Source organism: Homo sapiens, chromosome 20, assembly GCF_000001405.40.
Source record: "Homo sapiens chromosome 20, GRCh38.p14 Primary Assembly".
In the NCBI taxonomy this organism is placed as follows: domain Eukaryota; kingdom Metazoa; phylum Chordata; class Mammalia; order Primates; family Hominidae; genus Homo; species Homo sapiens.
This window is the reverse complement of record NC_000020.11, coordinates 54,592,307-54,616,344: the sequence shown is the minus strand read 5'-3', so window position 1 is coordinate 54,616,344 and position 24,038 is coordinate 54,592,307. Positions and strand designations below refer to the sequence as shown.

The 24,038-nt window shown below is 40.5% G+C and overlaps 1 protein-coding gene across 4 annotated transcripts in view; it reads right to left on the bottom strand.

Annotated features, from left to right (window-relative positions):
• DOK5 (docking protein 5) overlaps nt 1-24,038 on the bottom strand; it is a 175,577-nt gene that overhangs the window by 34,825 nt on the left and 116,714 nt on the right. For all 4 annotated transcript variants that reach the window (NM_018431.5, NM_177959.3, XM_011528904.2 and 1 more), the window contains exon 6: nt 5,822-5,957. In NM_018431.5, the coding sequence (NP_060901.2) occupies nt 5,822-5,957 (136 nt within the window). The remainder of the gene's footprint in view (nt 1-5,821; nt 5,958-24,038) is intronic.

Genomic DNA, 24,038 nt, shown 5'->3' with positions numbered 1-24,038 from the left:
AGAATAACAGTGAGTTAATCTCATGTAGGATAAAGAAAACGTGTCTAGGGGCTTGATTCAAAGATACAGTGTAAGGCAGGGGTTATGTCAGCACACCTGTTCCAAATTTGAGCCCTAATACCTTCTAAGCTGGTGGTTTGGGGTCTTCAATGCAAGAGTTTTCATGAGGTTTAGAAATTACACAAAATGTCCTTAACACATTGTCTGTTACAGAGCAGAGATATAACACATTCTTGTTTTGTTATTATTATTATATTAGTTTTCTATGGCTGTCGAAACAAATTACCAGCAAGTGGTGGCATAAAACCACACAAATTTATTGTCTTACGGTTCTAGAGGCCAGAAGTCCCAAATCAGTTTCTCTTGGCTGTGGTCAAGGCATCAACAGGGCTGGCTCCTTCTGGAGGTTCTGGGGGAGAACCTGTTTTTATGCCTTTTTTTTTTTGAGATGGAGTCTCGCTCTGTCACCAGGCTGGAGTGCAGTGGCGCAATCTTGGCTCACTGCAACCTCCACCTCCCAGGTTCAAACAATTCTCCTGCCTCAGTAGCTGGGACTACAGGCACACGCCACCACGCCCAGCTAATTTTTGTATTTTTAGTAGAGACAGGGTTTCACCATGTTGGCCAGGCTGGTCTCAATCTCTTGACCTCGTGATCCACCCACCTCGGCCTCCCAAAGTGTTGGGATTACAGGCATGAGCCACTGCGCTAGGCTGTTTTTATGCCTTTTCTAACTTCTCAAGGCCACAAACATCTTTTGGCTCACAGTCCCTTCTTCCACCTTCAAAGCCAGCTGCGTGGCATTTTAAAATCTCCCTCTCCACCCCTTCTCTATCTCTGTCTCTCTGCTTCCACCATTGCCTTGCCCTCTGTTTGACTCCTCTTGTTTCCCTCTTCTGAAGACAATTGTGATTATATTCGACCCACCTGGATAGACCAGGATACTGTCGCCATCTCAGGATCCTTAACTCGATCACACCTGCAAAGTCCCTTTTGCCTTGTAAGGTAACATTCACAGACTGCATAGATTAGAATGCGGGCGTATTTGGGGAGCCATTATTCAGCCTCCCACAACTGTTACTATTATTATCGGACCCACAGGCCCCTTCTTTATGAGTTTTGGGATTGAGGGTCATAAGGCTGACTGAAATCAATTCACTCCAGGCTGTAATTTCAGCCTGGTATTGGCCCCACAGTGCAACATTCTGTCTGTAGACACACTCTTGGGAATTTTACAACAGTGACAGTAAACAATGAGTTAGGACTTCCTAATAGTGAGGCTATGGCCAGATATGAGTTTTGCCGTCTTTCTCCGGTTATGAACTTGGCCATCTCATAGAAGCAAGTCAGCAGTCATATAAAGGCAATTCCTAGTGGGGAATGTAGCCAGGGCTATGTGGATCCACTCTTAATTACCAGAAAAGGCAAAACAATAACCGAGGCAGGGTGAGCCAGTAATGTTGCCTTCATTTGTTTTATTTTAGCATGGTATCCCCTAATCAGAGATTGACTAAAGTACATTGATTTTAAGCTTTTCACAATCCCTCGTTTAACTCCTTAAGATTCAGATCCATGTTGAAGCTTACTCATTTCCATCTATAACAGGATGCCGTGGCTTTAAAAATCACATTTATTTTATAGAACCCATTAAGCATACAGCAAATTAAGAGCAAGTGACATTATTTTCTAGTTAAATTTGCAAAGGGATAATCCAAACGATTTACTCATATTCCTGATTAATTTTTAGCGGAAATAATGAGGAGGTTGTAAATGGAAAAACATGTGCATGAGCATGCAGAACCCGCCTTTCAAGTACAAAACAATTTATGCTAATTGATGGCTCTACGAACAAGACAATCTTAGACAAACTTCTTCAGGTGCCTAAAGGGATCTAATGGAATAGCCGCACAACACTAATACAATGACATGTTGCCCTGTAAGTTTTCAGTGACTTGAATTCTACTTCACAGCTCGCTCTCACTCTCTCTCGCATTCCCCTCCCTCTGTCTCTCTCCATCCATCCACTGATGTCTCTTTATTGAAATATCCAGAATTTCTAAGTACATGGGAAAATAAATACCAAGATTGTATTAGTTCGAAAAGAAAGTCTTCCTGGAAGGCTGCTTGGAAAGAAAAGCAAATCCTTAAAAGCATTCTCAGACTTTGATTCAGCAATCAAGTTTTAAGAATTTATCTTAAACAGATAGTCATTGATGCATACAGACTGAGCATCAAGCTGATGCACAGGTTTTTTGTTGTTGTTTTATGTATACATATAAACTCAAATATAAATATATATAACCATATATATAAATAAATATATATAACCATATATATATGTATATATATTAGAGATGGGGTCTCCCTTTGTCACCCAGACTGGAGTGCAGTGGCGGGAACCTAGCTCACTGCTGCCTTGAATTCCTGGGGCCAAAGTATCCTCCTGCCTCAGCCTCCTGAGTAGCTGGGAGGACAGGCACAAGCCACTGTACCTAACTAGTTTTTAAATTTTTTGTAGAGACCAGATCTTACCATTTTGCCCAGACTGGTCTCAAACTTCTGGTCTCAAGTGATCCTCCTGCCTAGGCCTCCTAAAATATTGGGATTACAGGTGTGAGCCACCGTACCCAACCTTGATGCATAGTTTTAAAAATCTATGAAATATCCATATAATAAAATAGGACCACAAAATATGATGTTGCAGATGATATTTAAAGAGACAATATATAGACATTTTCTTGCAAAAAGCTAGCACAAGCAATGTATTCAATATAATTCTATTTTCTACATCCACCTAGTTAAAATACTGGAAAGCTACCCACTCAAAAGTGAGAAACAGGTATGTTCTTGTGTGGCGGGCAGAGGGATGACTTACTATGTTCTTTTTGTTCTGCTGTGTTGTCTACAATTTTTCAATAATGTGTAGATTCCTTTTGAAATAAGAAAATAATAAATATAATGATTTCTTATAGTTTCTTATAGTAGGTTCTAATTCTCTAAAATCTATTAAATTATATCATTCCCCATTCCTTCTCAATCTAATTTTACATTTGCTCTACTTAGACATTTAGAAAGAGAGAGAGATGGCGAGAGAGAGAGAGATGGCGAGAGAGAGAGAGAGGTGACGAGAGAGAGAGAGAGAGAGAGAGAGATGAGGCGCAGATGTAAATGGGCTTAGATGTTGTTACTAGATAATCCTCCAGCCATTTTCATCAGCCATTGCTAGGATCAATCTGGACCAACCAGTCTGCTCAGCTATTAACAGCAATGCTAATGATGGCTCAGCTATTAACAACAGTAATAACAGCTACAGTTCATGGAAAGCTATATAATGAGCTCTGGGCTGAACATGTTATGAGCATATCTCACTTAAACTTTAAGAGGGGTCTTTAAGATAAATACTATTACCCTTCCCATTTTACAAAGGAGAAAACTGGAGCTCAGGGATATCAAGAACTTTGTTCTCCTCCACAAAGCTGGAATGTTTCAGAAATGGTGTTGGAACTAAGTCTGGCTTCACGGGCCATGATCTTGAACACTGTATGATGGCACTGAAATTTATCTCTGTTTTATCTGTTTCTACCCCTAAATTAGTTATATTAGTCACAGTTTTCCAGAAACAGAGTAAATAGGATATATACACCAAGATATGCAGTCTGAAGGCCTGAAAGCCAATGGTGATGGTTTCTGGTCTGGATTTGAAGGCCAAAGGAGACCAATGTCCCAACTCAAGACCACAAAGAGAGCTAATTCTCTCTTACCCTCCTTTTGTTCTATTCTGGCCTCCATCAGATTGGATGAGGCCCACTCACATAGCAGAGGGCAATTTGCTTTACTCAATCTATCATTTCAAATATTACTGTCACTCAGGAACACCCTCAGAGACATACTCACAAGAAAGTTTAACCAAATATCTAGGCACCCTGTGTCCCAGTCAGGTTGACATATAAAAACAACCATCAGAATCCCTTAATTCATTCCAGGCCTCCTCAGCATGCCCACGTCCACCACCTCTGAAATCATACACAAGTCTTCAAGCCTGGTTTCTCGCAAATGCTTACGTCAGCACTGGCTCACGGGGGCAGGCACTTGCTCTTTTCCAAGTATAAGCTCTGTCCTGCGGCCCAAATCCAGCCTGCTGACTGTTTCTGAATGACCCATATGCAAAAAACAAACAATGAAAAAAACCTGCACTTTTTAATGGTTGAGAGAAAATCAACAGAAGAGTAATATTTCCTGACATGTGAAAATTATATGAAATTTGTATCTCAATGTCCATTAATAAAGTTTGTTTTGAGACATGGCCATGCTCATTTGATTACATCTTTCCAATAGCTGCAGCTGTGCTACAAGGGCAGTTAAGTACTTGCAGGCCATGTTAGTCCACAAAGCATAAAACATTTACTGTCTCTTTACAGGAAGATTTGCTGACCCCGGCTCTAAAATCCCGGATTGCTGCCTATAGACGTCATTTGGGAATAACCCGGGGCTGTGTTGGAACAGATCACATTACTGGCATGCTTTGCCCCTCCACTCTTTAAATCCAACCACCCCACATGTTTCAATCATAAAGTTTCAAACTACCCTAATCTTGCCAACGCAATTCCTTTTTGTTTTGTATATTTCCTTCCAGATGTGAAGCTCTATATATACATTTGCAGCCACAACGCATGATGTGCATTACTTAAGTGTTGTGCATTCATTTATGATTTATGATTTCATGAATTTACCCTCCTTAAAGAAAAAACTCATGAACATAATTATTATTATTTTTTTTAAATTTTTAGGCAGTGTCTCTCTTTGTCACTCAGGCTGAAGTGCAGTGGCACAAACTCGGCTCACTGTAGCCTTCACCTCCTGGGCTCAAGTGATCCTCCTATCTCAGCCTCTTGAGTAGCCGGAACTACAGTCGCATACCACCACACCTGGCTAATTTTTGTATTTTTGTAGAGACAGGGTCTCCCCATGTTGTCCAGGCTGGTCTCAAACTTCTGGGCTCAAGCAATCAGTCTGCCTCAGCCTGATTACAGTTCTGGGATTACAAGAGTGAGCCACCGCACCTGGCCTCATGAACATAATTATTTATGTAATCCAAGTCCCCAGCACAGTGTAAAGCAAAGAGTAAGTGTTCTGAGGGCATGTTTATGTGTGCTATGTGTTTATGTTTGGGCATCTTTATATACCGATGACTGTGAAGAGATGGCACACGCATGGCTGTGGGTAGCAGTTCACCCGCAGACAGGTTCTCTTTGACCCACAAAGTGTTGCACTCTTAACTAGAATTAATTTCCAACAGTTACCAACTAGCAGGTATTACATATAGACTCAAATCTTTGGCTTCCCTTGAAAAATCAAGGGATCTACCTAGATGGATGTCACAATCTCTTGTTCTCATGTCAACAGTTGTCTGGTCTTGGGCTTTTGACATTTCACTCCAGTTTCCCTCAGCCCTCTTCTTTCATTTACATTTTTCTCTCTGGCCCCTGTTGACATTTGAAATAACTTCTGACATAGCAAGACATATCTCCATAGGTAGATGATCCACATGGTTGTGTCTATAGATGTCTGTACACACGCAAATTAGTTTTACACACCCTTACGATTGAGTTGTAAAGTAGATAATGGGGATGTATGGCCAAGGTATTACCAACGGCCCACATCAGGCATTCTGGAATGCCATTTAATCCAAGTGATACACTGTTGAGAAGAGGAATCAGTCATCTGCTCAAATAATGCTGACCATATTTTCCAGCACAAAAATGACCCAATTGCTTTCTGCAGTGATAGGCACTGGGACACGAGGAAGAAATTCCAAACGTACCATCGAGTTTTTCACACTCTGTAGCAAGCGCTCGTGCTGCTCGGCTATGGCCAAGGCAGCAGAGTGGACTTTCTGATAGATGGCCTCCCCGTCTCGGGTCTGAAAGATAAACAGCCCTTCACCAGTCTCACACATCCTGTGAAAACAAAAACAAAACAGCTTCTGAAAATCCAGCGCCTAGAAGTTCAATGCACCAAGATCCTGGCATACTCCATTAGGCTGCGCCCATTTATTATTTTTTATTCTTGTTCACATTTGTTAAACAAAGTTAACTAGAATCGGAATGTTCAAAGTGTTCAATTAATTGTTATTAACAAGGGCAGGGGACCAAGGGACTCCAGGCTAACCTGTGCTGAATGGTTTTATCACAAAGTAAAACAGAAATTTTTTTTAAAAAAAAGCTGTTTCTTGATTTGCAGTATAATAAATACTTCACCTTCCCTATCCTTCACCTTGCCACTCTCAAAGAGAAATACCTGTGCAAGCGTATTCCTTTGTACAGTCTGTGAATAGCTCCTCATCAGAAACTGCCAGCGCAGAGAGACAGAAAGATTCTATGTCTCTTAGATTCTGTTCTCGCTTTCCCTACAGACCATGACTTTAAGGATTCTTTCCTTCCTAAAATCCTAGATCAAATATTACTCCAGCTTTCATTCAATGTGATGGATCAAATGCAGTTAATTTTTTTTTCAATGAGCATGACTGTGCTGAATTAATATTTGGAACATTAGAGAAGTTCTTCACGGAAAGTTGTATGGTTTTGATAATTAACATCAAGTGTTAAGAAGAACGGTATCTGTACCTCAGATGGTAAAGGTAAACAAAGAGAAATAAATTTCATTAATAAGGGAAGACTGGTACACACAATTAGGCAAGAAACAAATAAATGCTTTTTACTTAAATATATTTTAGTATATGTATGTGTATATATATGCTCTCTATATATTTTAGTGTGTGTATATATATGCTCTCTATATATTTTAGTGTGTGTGTATATATGCTATATATATATTTTAGTGTGTGTATATATATAAAACTACACTAAGATATATTTAATTATTATAAATATTTTTAAAGAACTTGGACAAAATCATATGCAGGGATATTAAAAGAAGCTCTGAATTTGATACATACATATGCCAACAGTAAACTAAGAGGTTGTTTTGTTTGCTTGCTTGTTTTAAAGAGCCGAATTATTCTAAGACACAACGCCACTCCTTCCATTTCAGAATTTCTTGCTGAAAAACTGAACGGTAGCTTCAGTGCCTGAATTTTGCTCCCATCTAAAGAACTGTTTAACACAGCATAGAAACTAAGCAAATTCTCAGCCTAAACCACTGTTATTTTTTTTAGTCTAGCCCAGTCTATGCAGTTAATGCAATAATACGAGGAAGATGTATCTAATGTTTCGCAGTTGGCCCAGTACCACAGCCAAATGACAGCCTTCTATACATATGGCATGGCCTAAGTAGTGGGCCAAAACCCATTACATTTGAATTAAATTTCATGAATTTTATGAATATGAGCCATGTATGAAGAAACAGAGGGAGTTTGGGTGTGGTGGCTCACACCTGTAATCCCAGCACTTTGGGAGGCCAAGGTGGGCGGATGATCTAAGGTCAGGAGTTCGAGACCAGCTTGGCCAACATGGTGAAACTCTGTCTCTACTAAAAAATACAAAACTTAGCCAGGCATGGTGTGGGGGGCACCTGTAATCCCAGCTACTCTGGAGGCTGAGGCAGGGAGAATTGCTTGAACCTGGGAGGTGGAGGTTGCAGTGAGCTGAGATCATGCGACTGCACTCCAGCCTGGGTGACAGAGAGAGGTGCCATCCCCCCACCAAAAAAAAAAAAAAAGAAGAAGAAGAAATAGAGGGAAAAACATGAAGGCTCTTTCAATAAGCTAATCTAAAGAACTAGCTCATGAGGTTGATCATGTGATTTTAATTATTAAGTCATTTTAACCCAAAGAAGATCTGAAACTGAAATTCAAGGCATTTTCAGTAAAGTCCCATTTCTTCCCTGAAGACATCTTAAAATACTTAAACCCTTTCTACTTCCTCTTCCTTATTTAAGCCGCCATACAAACTTGACTCTATTGTTTGGCATCCAATTCTGTAAGGTTTTGTTTTTCATACATCTTTATTCCATCAATTAGGAAATATTAATTTGTCAAGAGAAGGAAGTAATCTTAATCAATTCTTTAAGAGGAAAAAGTGGCCACTGGTTTCCCCTGGGGCAGAGGTCACTGTATATTTATTTACTTCCTTAAATGCCAACCTTGGTTCCAGAAGTAATGAAGGTACCTGTTACTCAGAAATACTTGTAGTGTGACAGATTAATACCAAAACTTGCAGCTATGTTTCTCAAGCTTGGACAATCTAGTTGCTTTCAAAGTCTTTGTTAACTGCAACCCGCCGTAGGAAATGTAGTTTAGATTTTTAGCCAGTATACCTATCAATCTATCATCAATCTATAACATGCTATTATTTTCTATTCTATCTTATTTGTAATACTAGTGGTGGAATGCTTAATTTATATCATAACCCATTAATTAATTTTACTCTTGGAAAATCACTCTTACCCAATGCCCACTTTGTTTTGTTTTGTTTTGTTTTGTTTTGTTTTGTTTTGTTTTGTTTTAGATGGAGTCTCGCTCTGTCGCCCAGGCTGGAGTGCAGTGGTGCGATCTTGGCTCACTGCAACCTCCACCTCCCGGGTTCAAGCAATTCTTCTGCCTCAGCCTCATGAGTAGCTGGGACTACAGGCATGTGCCACCACTCCCAGCTAATTTTTGTATTTTTAGTAGAGGTGGGGTTTCACCATTTTGGCCGCTGGTCTCGAACTCCTGACCTCGTGATCTGCCCACCTCTGCCTCCCAAAGTGCTGGGATTACAGGCATGAGTCACTGCACCCGGCCCCCAATGCCCACTTTTAAGAAACATAATAAATCCACAACCTTCCCTTAATGACATTTAAATCTCTAAATAAATATTGTTATCAAAAACAAATGAAACCAAAACTATAGGACTAAACATTCTTCTTTAATGTACATGGACTTCCCTCTCCTCTGCCTGAAGATCTGGAACACACACACACACACACACACACACACACACACCACTTACCACTAACAGAAAACAACAGGAGACACAACCTCAAATTCCATTAGAGTTCAGGCAGAGAACGTGAATGCATAAAGGTGCTCAAACTCACTATGACCTAGGGTAGAGGTAGCGCAGCTAGCAGAGAGCACAGGTCCTGTCTAAGCATGGTATCCAGAAGTCAGCCCTAGACAGGAGTCTATGTGGGGGAATGGGGAAATACGCGTCCAAGGTACTCACAGTTTCTGATTGTTTAGACAGGTTAGATAGCTGACAGTAGGTCACAAAGCTGGTGAGATGGCAGGCCAGCCAGGTGATCCCTGATCAAGCTCCTGCATTCTATTATGTTTAAGAGAAGCAAGACTTCTTGACTTTTATGTGAAGTCACCTGAATTTTATATGTCAGCAACTTGTTTCATTTTCTTTTTAAGTTGTGAGAGTCAAAAGGCCTTAATCAACCAGATCTGGCCAAGAAATCACCACTGTGCATTAAAGACACAAAATGCATTAAGAGCTCTAAATAGAACAGAAATGAGGCCTTTGGTGTAAATTGTTAGGACTTTTGCTCCTATTGCTCAAAGCCATGTGTCCTTCATTGGACAGCCTGACCCATGAAGATGCTAATGACCACAAACTGACCTTCAGATGCTCTTCCATCAGGTCTCTTCTATACTCTACCCACAAGTCCTTTTATCTTATCCACCCCTCCTAATTGATGTGTTTGGAACCGTTTCATAAGCAGCTTTACAACACTCTAAAATGTTACTACATGCCTCCATCAAAACCATATGATGGGCTAACTCCCCAAGGCAGTAAGAAGAAAACAAACAAACCAAAAAAAGGAAGTGAAAAGAAAGGCACATCAAACAGGCTAATGGTCTTACATAACCTCCTACAGCCATGTCTGCTTCTCGTCTCCAGAGAAAATGCAACACAGAACAAAGATGTTCTAATGGGTTTACCCTTTAGCAGAATAGCAAAGCCACCTGCTTTAACTTCTGTTGCTCCCGATTCCTCCTTTCTCTTTACCCATTGATTTTTACCCTGGATGCTCTTCCTGTATCCAAAGTGGCCCCAAGTGGCCCAAACACTCCGTACATTAATGGAAACCAGTGGATTGGAAACCCAGAGAAGGTTAAAAAAAAAGTTTAAGTTAGGCCTTTCTAATTTCCTCTGTGATGATAAGGATTCAAATATAATAATATTGCTGCCATATAGATGCAGGTATAGTTTTGAGTTTCCCAATAATTGCCTAAATGAAATGCCTGTCACTCCGAATCATGGATTATTCAATTATTCAAGAATTCAGAAGGAACCAATAGCTCAGAAAATGTTGGGAAGGATTCATTCTTCCACCTACCAAAGGCAACATAATAGAATGCAGGAGCTTGACCAGGGATCACCTGGCTGGCCTGCCATCTCACCAGCTTTGTGACCTACTGTCAGCTATCTAACCTGCCTAAATCTGCATTTTTATATGTAAACAAATGTAATGCTAAGAACTCTCACCTAGATTTACTGCAAGTATTAAATAGGATATGTAGAGTACACAATTACATCTTGAAGTAAAGAGAGCTTCCATTACTTTACCAGAATGTAAGCTCCCTGTAGACGGGGATTTTGTTCTGATATACTCGCAGCTTTTCCACTAATGCCTAGAGCATGGCTTGGTTTACATTTCATGTTCAATAAATAACTGTAGAATGAATTGTGAAGCAGAAGGCAGTGCTAGGAAAAGCATCACCGGGAACCTGACCCAGGCTTCCTTGAGCAACTTTTACTGACACTGAGAATTCATTGAGTTACCCTGGGGAGGGGAGTGGTTTGAGAAAGAAGGCAGGAAAAACAGCCTTGACAGACAGAACTGCACATATAAAGCTTTAAGGTGGGACACAGGTAAGTGAAGCCAACATGTTGGGGAGGTGGTGGGAAGAGGGGTAGCCTGCGGGGCTGAGCCCCCAGTGGACAGAGCACAAGTGTGCATGTGCTGGGACTGTGATCCTGGGTACTGTGAAGATTCAAGACCAAGACACTATGGTTCATATGCACTGAGTGCCCAACTTCAGAAACTCTGTTCTCTCGTTTTGCCCATAACATTGCACACTAACATATCTTATTAGAAAAATACTAATGGGGTTGAAATTATGAAAACTAAAATAAATTATCTCATGGTAGACAGAATGAATAAGTAAACATTTGAAATCAGTAAGCCAATAAGTTTCATATTTTCTTGCTTCCAAGATGTATTCTGTGCACATGGCTCTCTCTGTCTCTCTCTCTCTCTGTGTGTGTTTGTGTGTGTGTGTGTGTGTAGAATATATGGACACTGCCAAAAGCAGAACACATTTTGACCTCAACGTGTGTGTGTGTATACGTGTGTGTGTGTGTGTGTGTGTATATATATATATTTTTTTTTTTTGAGACACAGTCTTGCTCTGTTGCCCAGGCTGGAGTGCAGTGGCACCATCTTGGCTCACTGCAACCTTTCCACCTTCCAGGTTCAAGCAATTCTCTGCCTCAGCCTCCTAAGTAGCTGGGATTACAGGCACCTGCCACCACGCCTGGGTAATTTTTATATTTTTAGTTGAGATGGGGTTTCACCATCTTGGCCAGGCTGGTCTCGAACTCCTGACCTCGGGTGATCCATCCACCTCAGCCTCCCAAAGTGCTGGGATTACAGGCATGAGCCACCGTGCCCGGCCAACATGTATATTTAAGGTAAGCTTTTCTTTTTCCCTACCCCTGCCAAGGCAGCTATTAAATCAATGTTGTATTTTACATTTACAATTACGTTATAATTGAAAGAATAAGGTACTTGTTACACCTATCAGAGACAAAGCATAACAGCCGCTGTGAAGGATGTAAACATAGGCTTTCTCTTTGAGGAGCTGAGAATTAATTTGGAGAGACAAGATCTACATATGCAAAACATTTGAGAATAATATCATGGTTGCATGAGCCATACTGATGCGGCAATTAAAAAAGGAAATGTACAGTTGAGAAGAGGGGTGGGTGTCAGCGTTGGGAAAATGAAAATCTGGAATCCAAAAACCTGAGAGAAACAGATCCGAAGCACCTGACAGAGAGGGATATAAAATTAAAAGTAAAAAAAAAAAAAGCACAGAATGTTTACTTTTGTCTGTGAAAGTGAGGCAAACTAAAAATACAGTTTGAGGCCGGGGCGCGGTGGCTCATGCCTGTAATCCCAGTACTTAGGGAGGCCGAGGTGGGTGGATCACTAGGTCAGGAGATCGAGACCATCCTGGCTAACACGGTGAAACCCCGTCTCTACTCAAAATGCAAAAAATTAGCCGGGCATGGTGGCGGGCGCCTGTAGTCTCAGCTACTCGGGAGGCTGAGGCAGGAGAACGGCGTGAACCCGGGAGGCGGAGCTTGCAGTGAGCCGAGATCGCGCCACTGCACTCCAGCCTGGGCGACAGAGCAAGACTCCGTCTCAAAAAAAAAAAAAAAAAAAAAAAATACAGTTTGAACAAGTGGAGTACAATCCCCTCCCCCTCCCCCTGAGGCTATAGCAAGGCCAACAACACTATGACAAGAAAACGTACTTTCACAGACATGAGATGAAGAAGCAAGAGGCTTAGCCACGTAGGTTCTAGGAGTTTCATTGTGAGGAATAAATTTGGGAGGAATTTCTAAGGAGCTTGTAATACGGACTTGATCTCAGCTCTACTAAAGTCAGCAACACTGACGTGGTCTGATCGTGCTTTGTTATTAGGGCTGTCCTGGGCGTTGTAGTTTACTGAGCAGCATCCCCGGCCTCTACTCACTAGATGCCAGTAGTACCCTGCAGTTTAACAACCAAAAGTGTCTCCAGACATTGACAAGTATCCCCAGTTGAAAATCATTGAAATAGACCAAAATGAGGACAAGGGAGAACCCAGGTAATGAATACCTGGTAAGAGGTTTTCTATACAAGGCAGTGTCCGAGTTTAGGGAACTGTTGCTTCAGTACAGACTGGGATGACAAGGACATTCTGTGGTTGACTATCTTTGTTGTCTTTCCTGTTCCAATCACTGGCATTGCTGCCTGGTTGATCTCAGCTTAAGACAAAGCAGCAGTCTATTCTCCTAGTGCCCCGTGTGTGTACTCGCTGGAAATCAGGGGAATCTGGCCCACCTGCTACTGCAATTGTTTTCCTAGCCCTTTCTATGACTGGTAGGGTGAGAAATGGGAATTGATGTGAGATAACACATCATGTATCACTTGCCACTCAGGATTCTGAGCATGGGACAGCTGGCGACATCCATCATTCACAAACAACTTTCATGATGGTTGTCAAATCTTTGTGCCACCTACGTGATTCATTTTTAATCAACTTGCTTTATTTTCCTTAAACGAATATATTTTTGTAAGTTAGAATCATCACATCAATAGCAAACCAGTATCCCCTGTTATAAATTGAAAGCAGACTTAAAAAATACATTAAAAGTCTGGGCGCGGTGGCTCATGCCTGTAATCCCAGCACTTTGGGAGGCCTAGGCGGGTGGATCACAAGGTCAGGACTTCAAGACTGCCTGGCCAAGATGATGAAACCCCATCTCTACTAAAAATACAAAAATTATCCAGGCATGGCGGTGTGCGACTATAATCCCAGCTACTCGGGAGGCTGAGGTAAGGAATTGCTTGAACCCGGGAGGTGGAGATTGCAGTGAGCCGAGATCACGCCACTGCACTCCAGCCTGGGCAACAGAGAGAGATTCCATCTAAAAAAAATACATTAAAAAATTGTTATCAAATTCTGCTACATCCTCTTGCTGTCAAAGATTTGAGCTAGAAGTTTGCTCACTTCTTAGTAACACAGGTACATTAGAAAGTTTTAGAGATGTGTGTCAGGCATGCGGCATCCAACTGAAATGTTTCTCCATTATTCAACCAAAAAGATCAAAAAGTAAATGGAAAAGAAAATGACTATCACCGTGAGACTCATATTTATTTAACATCGCCTCTACTGCCCAAAATCATACCACATTTTTGGAAACACAGGTCTAGTTCCTAGAGCCCTGCTCCAGGTGATGTGGAGCTATGTCTGGAAGATAAGAAGTCTCAATCCCAGCTCCCTCCCATGATGCAATCACGACCCTGGACAAGTGCCTTGACTTCTCGAAGTCTCCATGACTTCATATTTCAAATGTGAATAACAAGGTTTCCCAAACCACACAGAATGGTGAGAGATTGCATTTTGTATTTAGCAAAGGATCCGGCATCAAATAAGCATTTAATTAGAATTTGTTGTTGTTGCTATTTTAACCCTTTAAAACGTCAAAGCCAAAGAGAACAGGACTCTTTGGAAAACCTCACGAGAGAGGCACAGCCACATATTTGCCTTGAAGGAAATGCGGGCAGCTGCAACCCAGAACAGCAGTAGGGAAGCAAGAATGACTAAGAAGTATGGGAATGGAACGTGTGTGACTGGGAGAAAGAGTGATGTGGAGGCTCATGGGTGGGTGAAAACAGAATAAAATAAACCTCTTCTTTGAGAATGAAAATATGAATTTGGAAACAGGAATCGCCCTCTAAGAAAAGGATCAGCTTTAATTAAAGAAAAACTAGGATGCAAAAATTGGGTGTTTTGTTTCTCCAGCTCCAGTGAAGTACAGTGTCTGTGCTGGAGGATTAGCACACCTTATGAGATATAAAGCTTCCTAGCTGGTGTGCAGGGTGAAGAGAAAGGCCCCAGTGCAGACTGTGCAGGGCCACACTGTGGCCCTCCTCCTGCCATTTCATCATCACTAGCACAGGTTTCCTAACAGCCAGAGTCCCCTCAAATGTGCACAGAGACCTTCGCTATCACTTTTAGATGTAAATTCTAATACTTACTGCCTGGACTTGAAGGTTGGTGGAAAAACCAACCAACAAACAGAAGAATAAATTAATTATCTGTAGTCATAGAACAAAGCTAGTATAACAGACAGTGGTTGTTTATTAATTGTATCTGTTCTTTATCACTTATGATGTGCATAAAGTCAAAGGAAGATCACTTTTTTCCATTTTTGCTTTATGATATGATCTGTCTCCTTGTGTGAAGAAAGCATTTTCACACATTCTTCCTGCAATAGCAGTTATAAGAAATGGGTTGGAATTAGCAGTGCTTTTAACAGTTCTAAACTCAAACACAATGTGTAGCTTTACTAATCTCTGACAAGATGAAATGGCAGTTTAGTAAGTGGGGTAAACTGCTGAATGAGCCCTGAAGTTAACCTTTCCAAAACTGACCTCTGGAAAATCCTCAGCCCCAGTGCTCACTCTGCACCCTTTCTCTGCAGTCTTAGCTGCTCCTGGAGGGTCCCTAACACTTCCCTTTCCCTCTTAGCCCACATCCAGTCTGTCAGTAAATCCTTCTGGCTTTAGCTTAAAAACCTATCATCATCCAAGACTTAAGACCATATTCACTGTTACCCACATGGCTACAGCCATTCTTGTCCCTCACATGAGTACTACAATACCCCGTAACTGGTTTTAGCCTGAGAAAGTCTTAAAGAAAAAAAAGATTATGTCACTTCTTTGCCTAACACCTCCAGCATAGAGAAGAATTTAACCTCATCTAAAAATAGCCCTTTGCTAGGATCTCCTGCAAGGTAATGTTTGCCTGCCTGGAAAACTTGAGCTAGACAGGAACAATATAACTCAAGATAACGGCTTCAGGTCATGTGATATCAGTCAGCCTGGAGACTGAGATCCACCAATCAATCAATCAATCACACGTACATACTGGAGCCCAGTAAAATCTTTGTGAGTGGTGGCTTAGGGGCATGTAGGTAGGCAATGCTCCATGTGTAATGTCACATGCAGGCAGGAGGAAAGCAGCATGCCTGGATTCCACAGGGAGAAGATAACAGAAGCTCCACAATTGGTACTTCTCTGGACTCCATCCTCCCATGCACTTCTTTGCTTGCTTGATTTCAATCTATATGCCCTGCTGTGATAAACCATAACTGTGTGTTTAATAGCTTTTGGTGAGTTCTGGGAGTCATTTTAGTGACTTACTAAATCTTAGGGTAGTTTTAGAAACCCATGAACTTGCAGTTGGTGTCAGAAGTGAGAGCCATCTTGGGGACTTGCTCAAACTCTGTAGTTGTCCAACTCTACACAGCCCCTGAGGGCTCCCCATCAGACTAAGACTAAAAGCCAAATTCTTCACAACCACCTTCAAGCTCCACATGGCCTGACCCCGCTGCATCTCCACCTGTGTCATGTGGCTTCCCATCCATTGATTCTGCTCAGACACATCAACCTCCTGGCTCTTCTTTGAATACTTCCTCTTCAGCATCTTCTTCCATCTTCCTTCTGGAAGGAATGCTCTTCCCCCAGATTCTTACATGGCTCACACTCTCACCTCTTAAGATTACGTACTCAGTAAAGCCAGTCCTGCTCACTCTCTTTAAAATTGCACCCCTTCTTTGGCACTGTCTATCATCCTTCCCTACTTTATTTTTCACTGTGGGACTCAATCTAACATCTATTTTACCTTTTAAAATGTTCATCATTGTCTATATCTCTCTCTTCTGTTGAGTAAGTTGTATGTTGTTTTCACTGCTACATCTGCAGTGCTTAAAACCACACCAGGCATTAGGGTGCACTAGGTGAATATTGCATAAAGGAAGGAATGATTCTTTTTTACTAGCCCTTTCTAGAATTCCAAAACACCATCTCATATAAAGTAATCACAAACACCAGTGGGCCATCACCTACATTAAAGATGGCCACAGACAAGGTATGTTGCTGAGTGCCTAATTTTGCCTCAAAGGTCAGAAAAAAGTCATCCTTTCTTTCAAGAATTTTGCATGCTATTTAATAAAATCACAGAAGCTCAGAGGTGGATAGGATCTAGCTAAGCCTCTTAGAATGGTGGCCTTGTCTTGTTTGTCTTCATACCTCTCACTTAGCACACTGTGTGGTAGACAGTAGACATGCAATAATGAAACATCTATTAAGATGATTATTAAAGAGGTTACTCCGTGGAGTAGAAAAGAGAATGCTCCCTTCTGATTTCATACATGCCTCTACTATTGGAATATTTATAATGTGTGCATTATCTTTGTAATTAAAATTATTTTTGAGGAAAATGCTAATGAATAACAAGTGGCCATTTAAATGACACAATGTTTGTTCCCTTTTTCTTACAAAAGAAGAGGACTTTACTTCTCCTGAGCAAACTTGTGTTAGATCCAGCACATTTGTATTCTAATTGTCATACTCAACATAGTTGGGGGAGCTCAGCATACTGGATTGCTTACTTGCTTTAAATTCTTCAATAAGGATAAGTGTATGCTCTGTAAAACATTCAGAAATGAGAGATTACTAAGAAGCTACCTAAGAAGATAAATTGGGAATATGTAGCTTTCAAATATGCAAATACACATATATTTCAAATATTCAAATAAATAGAAAATATTCATAAGCTATCAAAACAATTGTCATTTTACCTGTAAACTCACCAATTAAAGGAGTAAACAGTTTTTTTCTTGAATGAAAAGTTATTTCACCAATTAGGCTGGTTTTAGGGTGAAATATACAAAAAAACAAATTATTTTCTAAAGCTGTTCAGATGCCTTCATATCCAAATAAATAAAAATCTTTTTCAAAAACCGCTTGTGAACTCCATTTAAGGAAAAGTATTTGTATATGCAATTTGGATTTTCACATATTTTTGGCATACCTAAAAGTTTCTCTTAAAACGATGTCAAAAGCACAAGAGAGACTCTCTCCAGCTGGTAAAGAAAGGCACTCATGTGCGGTAATTATTTAGTACGTTCTGCCAAATGTCACCTGAGCTTCTCTGGCTCCTGCAGGTGCGAAACCCAGGGTATTAATTTAAATCAGTCAGGATGTAAGGCAAGTCTGACATTGAAGCATGCTAACTCAGCAGCAAGCTGTACAGTTAACAGAGAAAGGGACTGGACACCTGCCACCCTTCTCTACACAATCACATTGCAAGAATGGTTCCAAGGGAGATTTTGCTGCAGTTAGAACTTCATGTCAATTGGATCTTCCCATAAAAAATTAGTGCCCCTGCCAGTCTGATGTGCCGTGAGGTTTCAGGGCTTTGAAGTGGAAAGAAACAAACAAAAGACTAAGAAAACTTCAAACAAAATAAGCAATATGTCCATTAGCCCCCAAGATAAACTAATTATTCTCTGTCTCCAAGGGTAATTAATTGTGCAATTTCATCTTATTAAAAAATGTTATATTCTAATTCTGAATTTCCTCAAAAAATAGAGAATATGGTCAGATTTTATGATACCAGGAGGAGAAGGAGAAAAACACTGTGCAGAAGACCCTAATGACCTATGATCCACATAGTGCTGCCCTGGAAAGATGTATGTGCCTACACTCCAAACTAAGAGAACATACAGGGGGTTCCAAAAAGTCAAGTCAAACTAAGAACATTTATACCCCAGTGCGCAGCTCAGGAGGCATATTTACATCACCAGCATCTTTGCAAGTCTGTGGCTTATTGACAGATGCCTTCCTCACATTGAGGCAGCTTCAGTGGGAAAGGATAATATGCTCACAAGATCATCCAAAATGGATTTAGCAAGCTTTGGTTATGTAAGCATGCTTTCTCTCCCTTAGCTCTGCAGAAGTTAACTAAGAACCAGGCTAACCTCCAGTAGAAGGTGAGCCTTCTTAGAAATCTATGGAGTTTGGAAGTAAAAGATGCTTTCTCTCCCTTAGCTCTGCAGAAGTTAACTAAGAACTAGGCTAACCTCCAGTAGAAGGTGAGCCTTCTTAAAAATCTATGGAGTTTGGAAGTAAAAGATCTGAGCGTGAGTCCTGAATTTATCAGCTTTGTGTCTTCGGACCTCTTGCCATTGCCCAGGTTTCATTTTAAGAGGGAAATAACTGTATCCCCTAGTTTGTATGATAATGAGTAGCTCAAATGAGGTAATGAGCCTCTTAGTACAGAGGCTTTCATATAGTAAGGGCTCAGTAAATGGTAGTGATGATTTTCAATGGCTCATACACCTGCTAGAGTAGGGTTTCTCAACCACATGATTAGACCTGATAATCCTTTGTTGTCAAGGACTATTCTGTGCCTGTAGCAGCATCTCTGGCCCTTTTATGCACTAGATGCCAGTAACACCCCCTGCCCAGGTTGTGACAATCAAAAATGTCTCCAGACATTATCAAATGTCCCTTAGGAGCAAAATCACCTCTAGCTAAGAACCACTGCTCTGGAAATCGGCACTATTGTGAGTGCAAATGTCAATTACAGTCAAATAGCCTCTTGACCTTATTTGTTTTGAGCAATTATTAAATGCTATATTGTACATATTTTGTTAGTTTTTAAAAGCCTCACCTCCACTCCTCTTCTGATAGCAACAGTACCCTCTTCCTGCCTTCAGTGAACCAACCTCATTGCATTTGTACCCTGTGAGCTTTGTGTAAAGTGCAGTGCTTGACACATAGTATATATAATGACAGCAGAGAGTAGTAATATATCTCTCTTTTACTGAGATAGTGTGGGGAGATCTCAAAGCTTCTGAAAGTCACCATATGGAGCTAGAATGAAGCTATTTTAGAAGAAACAGAACTGTCACATAAAACCTGGGATTATCATTTGGACACTGAGCCAAGCCAAGCCTGAAGCCATCTTTACTCCTCAGACTTTGAGTTTATGGAAGTCAATGAGTTTCTTTTCAGTACTAGTTTGGGTGGATACAACTGCCTACTACATTCAGGCACTATTCCAGGTGTCTTTACATGTGCCTTTATTTAATCTTCATAGCAATCTTTTGAGATAAGTAATATATGTGTTCCCAATTTACAGGTGGCAATGAAAAAAAGCTCGGTGAGTTAAGTGACATATCCACGTTCCCACAGCCAGTATGTGATAGAACTGTAATTTTACTTCATTTCCTCCAACTTCCAGTTCAGTCTGTTACACATGCCCCACTGTCAGCTTTGGTGGGGTGAAACGGAGCCACTGAGCAGGAATAACACTCAGTTCTAGTTCTAAGAGAGAGGCTGAACATGAGCAGAACTTTGTCCAAGAAAGATTCCCTGTGTTCTAGAGGATATTGTTAAGTTTTTGCAGATGCATGTTGGATATGTGAAAACTACTTGCTTAGACAGACAACTCCTGCTCACTTCTCGATGTGAGAGAAGGGGAAAATTATACTGGTTGATATAAAACTGCTTTGTTTCAACACATCCAAAAATAGCCAAGGAAAAAACTTATCTTCACTAATAAAGCAAGGCAGACATGAAACCTTCACGCTTGGTGTGGAACACGAATGATCTTATTATCCTGAGCATCTTGATGGTAAGTATAAAAATTTATCTTTATTTGAGTTTCAAGCAAAATATAAAATAGTAATTTTACCTTGCATTTAACACTATCCTGCAAGCTTATGTTCTGCTCCAAAAGTAATCATAATAGAATACCAAAGATACTATTTAGGAGAAGCCCAGCATCCTTCCAGGTCATCTACATGCATTTCTGCCTTTACCTACAACAAACCTGCAAGAAAGTTATTACTCTGATCAACTTACAAGGAAAGTTAAGAACTTTGTCCAAGGTTAGCAGCTAGCAAAAAATAGAGATTACTCAGGGTCTCTCTAAATTCTGAATCAGTACTTTGTATACTACACCAAGCTGTTTGAGAAGTAAGATGCTAAGCATACAACTCCCACACTTTCCTTTCTGACCATTCAATCTCAAGTTTGCACCAGCCCTGCAAAACATGACCAATGCATAAGAAATAATGCTATTCAAAATCAATAAATATTCTATGTCCCTACGATATTGGAGATATAACATTGAGTGGCCTGGGTTGTGAATATTATAATCATCTAACCAGTGGAGTTCTTGGATGAAATAAGCAAATGGATGGACCATAAAGGGGTCATCAAAGTCATGGGATAAAACACTTATATCTTCCAAGTCAGCATGTTGGTAAAGACCATTGAAATAGTTCTCAACTTTGTCACCCATATATCTTTTCATCCACCATTGTTTCACTTGAACTGGTTCAATATCTCCCACATCCATACCTATCTCCTCTATCCTACCGTGCACAATGTGATCAAAGTGACCTTTATAAACTTTTTTTTTTTAAATGGAGTCTCGCTGTGTCACCCAGGCTGGAGTGCAGTGGCAGGATCTCAGCTCACTGCAAGCTCCGCCTCCCGGGTTCACGCATTCTCCTGCCTCAGCCTCCCGAGTAGCTGGGACCACAGGTGCCCACTACCACGCCCGGCTAATTTTTTGTATTTTTAGTAGAGATGGGGTTTCACCGTGTTAGCCAGGATGGTCTCGATCTCCTGACCTCGTGATCTGCCCGCCTTGGCCTCCCAAAGTGCTGGGATTACAGGCATGAGCCACCACGCCCAGCCCTTTATAAACTATTAACACAATTACATCACATACACACACACCCCATATACACACATCTCATACACACACAGAGACTCAAACATACCAGCCTCCAAGTATCTATGGTTTCCTACAGCACTTAGGAGAAATATCGAGGTCTTTTAAGTAATCACCTAAATCCTTAGCAGTTCCGTTAGATTTCAATATGAATAAATTAAACGTTTGCAGGATATGTACAGTGTTCATTTTATACCTGGAAAATTAATAAGATAACATGTTTTCAAGTTTAAAATAGATATGAGATACTAATAAAGTTTACTAAGGTTTTGATCCTCAAACATTACCATAAAAAGCTATACTTTTTTTCTACTACTATTTCCTGTAAATGGTAAATAAAAAAAGATTTTAAAATATTAATAATTGAATAAGTGCTGCCCAAAACAGATCCAAAGAGTCTTGATCAATGCAGAATTCTCTTACACATCAATATGAAATATGAATGGAGATGATATGAGAGGTACAGTCATAGAAAAGTCTATTTATAAAACATTTTCAATACTTAGATTTCACTGGTTATCGTTAATGCATAAATAATTTCTGAGACCCAAAGGGAAAAATATACCAACCTTACCAAAAAAAATTATTCATTTTCTATAGGGATTTTCTTTTGTCATTGTTGTTTTCTTTTGAGACAAGGTCCACTCTGTCGCCCCAGGCTGGAGTGTATTGGCAAGATCATAGCTCACTGTAGCCTCGACCTCCCAGGCTCAAGTGATCCTCCCACCTCAGTCTCTGGAGTAGCTGAGACCACAGGTGTGTGCCACTATGCCTGGCTAATTTTTTTTTCATTTAATTTGCTTTTATTTTTTGTACAATATACCCAATGATGAATAGGTATTCTTATTTTCTTTTTTAAAAAACTTTTGTTTTAAGTTCATGGGTACCTGTGCAGGATGTACAGGTTTGTTACATAGGTAAATTTGTGTCGTGGTGACTTATTGTACAGATTGTTTCATCATGCAGGTATTAAGCTTAGTATCCATTATTTATTTTTCCTGATCCTCTCCCTTCCCCATCCTCCACCCTCAGATAGGCCCCATATGTGTTGTTCCCTTCTATGTATCCATATGTTCTCATGATTTAACTCCCACTTATAAGTGAGAACATGCAGTATTTAGTTTTCTGTTCCTATATTGGTTTGCTAAGGAATTAGGCCTCCAGCTCCATCCATGTCCCTGCAAAGGACGTGATTCATTCTTTTTTATGGCTGCATAGTGTTCCATGGTATATATGTACTACATTTTCTTTATCCAGTCTATCATCGATGAGCATTTGGGTTGATTCCATGTCTTTGTTATTGTGAATAGTGCTTTGATGAACATACATGTGCATGTGTTTTTATAACAGAAACATTTTGGAGAGATGGGGTCTCCCTGTGTTTCCCAGCCTGCTCTCAAATTCCTGGGCTCAAGCAATCCTCCTGTGTTGGCCTCCCGAAGTGCTTGGATTACAGGCATAAGCCACCGTCCTGGCCTGGGATTTTCTTATAAGAAGAATAAATAAGTAATTCTCACAAAATAAGAACATTGCTCTCAACATTAAAGGTTTATTTTTTGTGATAACTTTTATAGTCTTTGAAAGATTCACCAACTTGTTTCTAGGTACTTAAAAATAAAATAGACCAGAAAAGAACTGTATGAAAAGTATAAAGTAAAAAACTTTGCAGACAGTTGTAAGAACATCAAAGTGATCATATTTCTGAAATGTAAATTTTAAATAATTGGGCTTTGATTATTTAAAATGTAATTTTTTTTTTTTTCTGGGAGACAGAGTCTCGCTCTGTCACCCAGGCTGGAGTGCAGTGGGTGATCTCAGCCCACTGCAAGCTCCATCTCCCAGGTTCACGCCATTCTCCTGCCTCAGCCATCTGAGTAGCTGGGACTACAGGTAAAATGTAAATTTTAAATAATTGGGCTTTGTTCATTAAAATGGAATTAACAGATTAGTTAGAGGGGACCACTACTGTTATCCATTCACATGGATTGGGGTATTTAGAACTTCAGTTTTTACTTTCCTTATATCAAGAGTCATATTCCTGTCAGGAATAACTGTCTGCTTTTACAAGCAATTTTTATTTAACATCACAAGTTAATGGTTTTCAATTTGAGTGTAATGTCAGGCCATATACAGAAGAACTTATATTTCTTAAAATTTAGGCATTTAAAATTCTAAAATAGAAAATTTATCTGGCCGGGCGTGGTGGCTCACGCCGGTAATCCCAGCACTTTGGAAGGCCGAAGCGCGAGGTCAGGAGATCGAGACCATCCTGGCTAACACGGTGAAACCCCATCTCTACTGAAAATACAAAAAAATTAGCGAGGCGTGGTGGCGGGCACCTGTAGTCCCAGCTACTCAGGAGGCTGAGGCAGGAGAATGGCGTGAACCCGGGAGGCGGAGCTTGCAGTGAGCCGAGACTGTGCCACCTACACTCCAGCCTGGGTGACAGAGCGAGACTCCATCTCAAAAAAAAAAAAAAAATTACCTGCAGTGTTCCCAAACGAAGCCTAAATTCTGAGGGAAAACTGAAGGACAAGGAAAATAGGATTATGGCTAGAGGAATCTTTTTGTAGGTAGCAACCAATCCATATACTACTGGCTTGGTTACTATACTATCTGGTTAATCTCTCCCAGATTAACCCCTAAGAGGAAAAAGAGAAAACCCGGAAAGTGCTTAGTCGGTATCACAAAGAGCAAGTTTTAGCATTAATCTCTT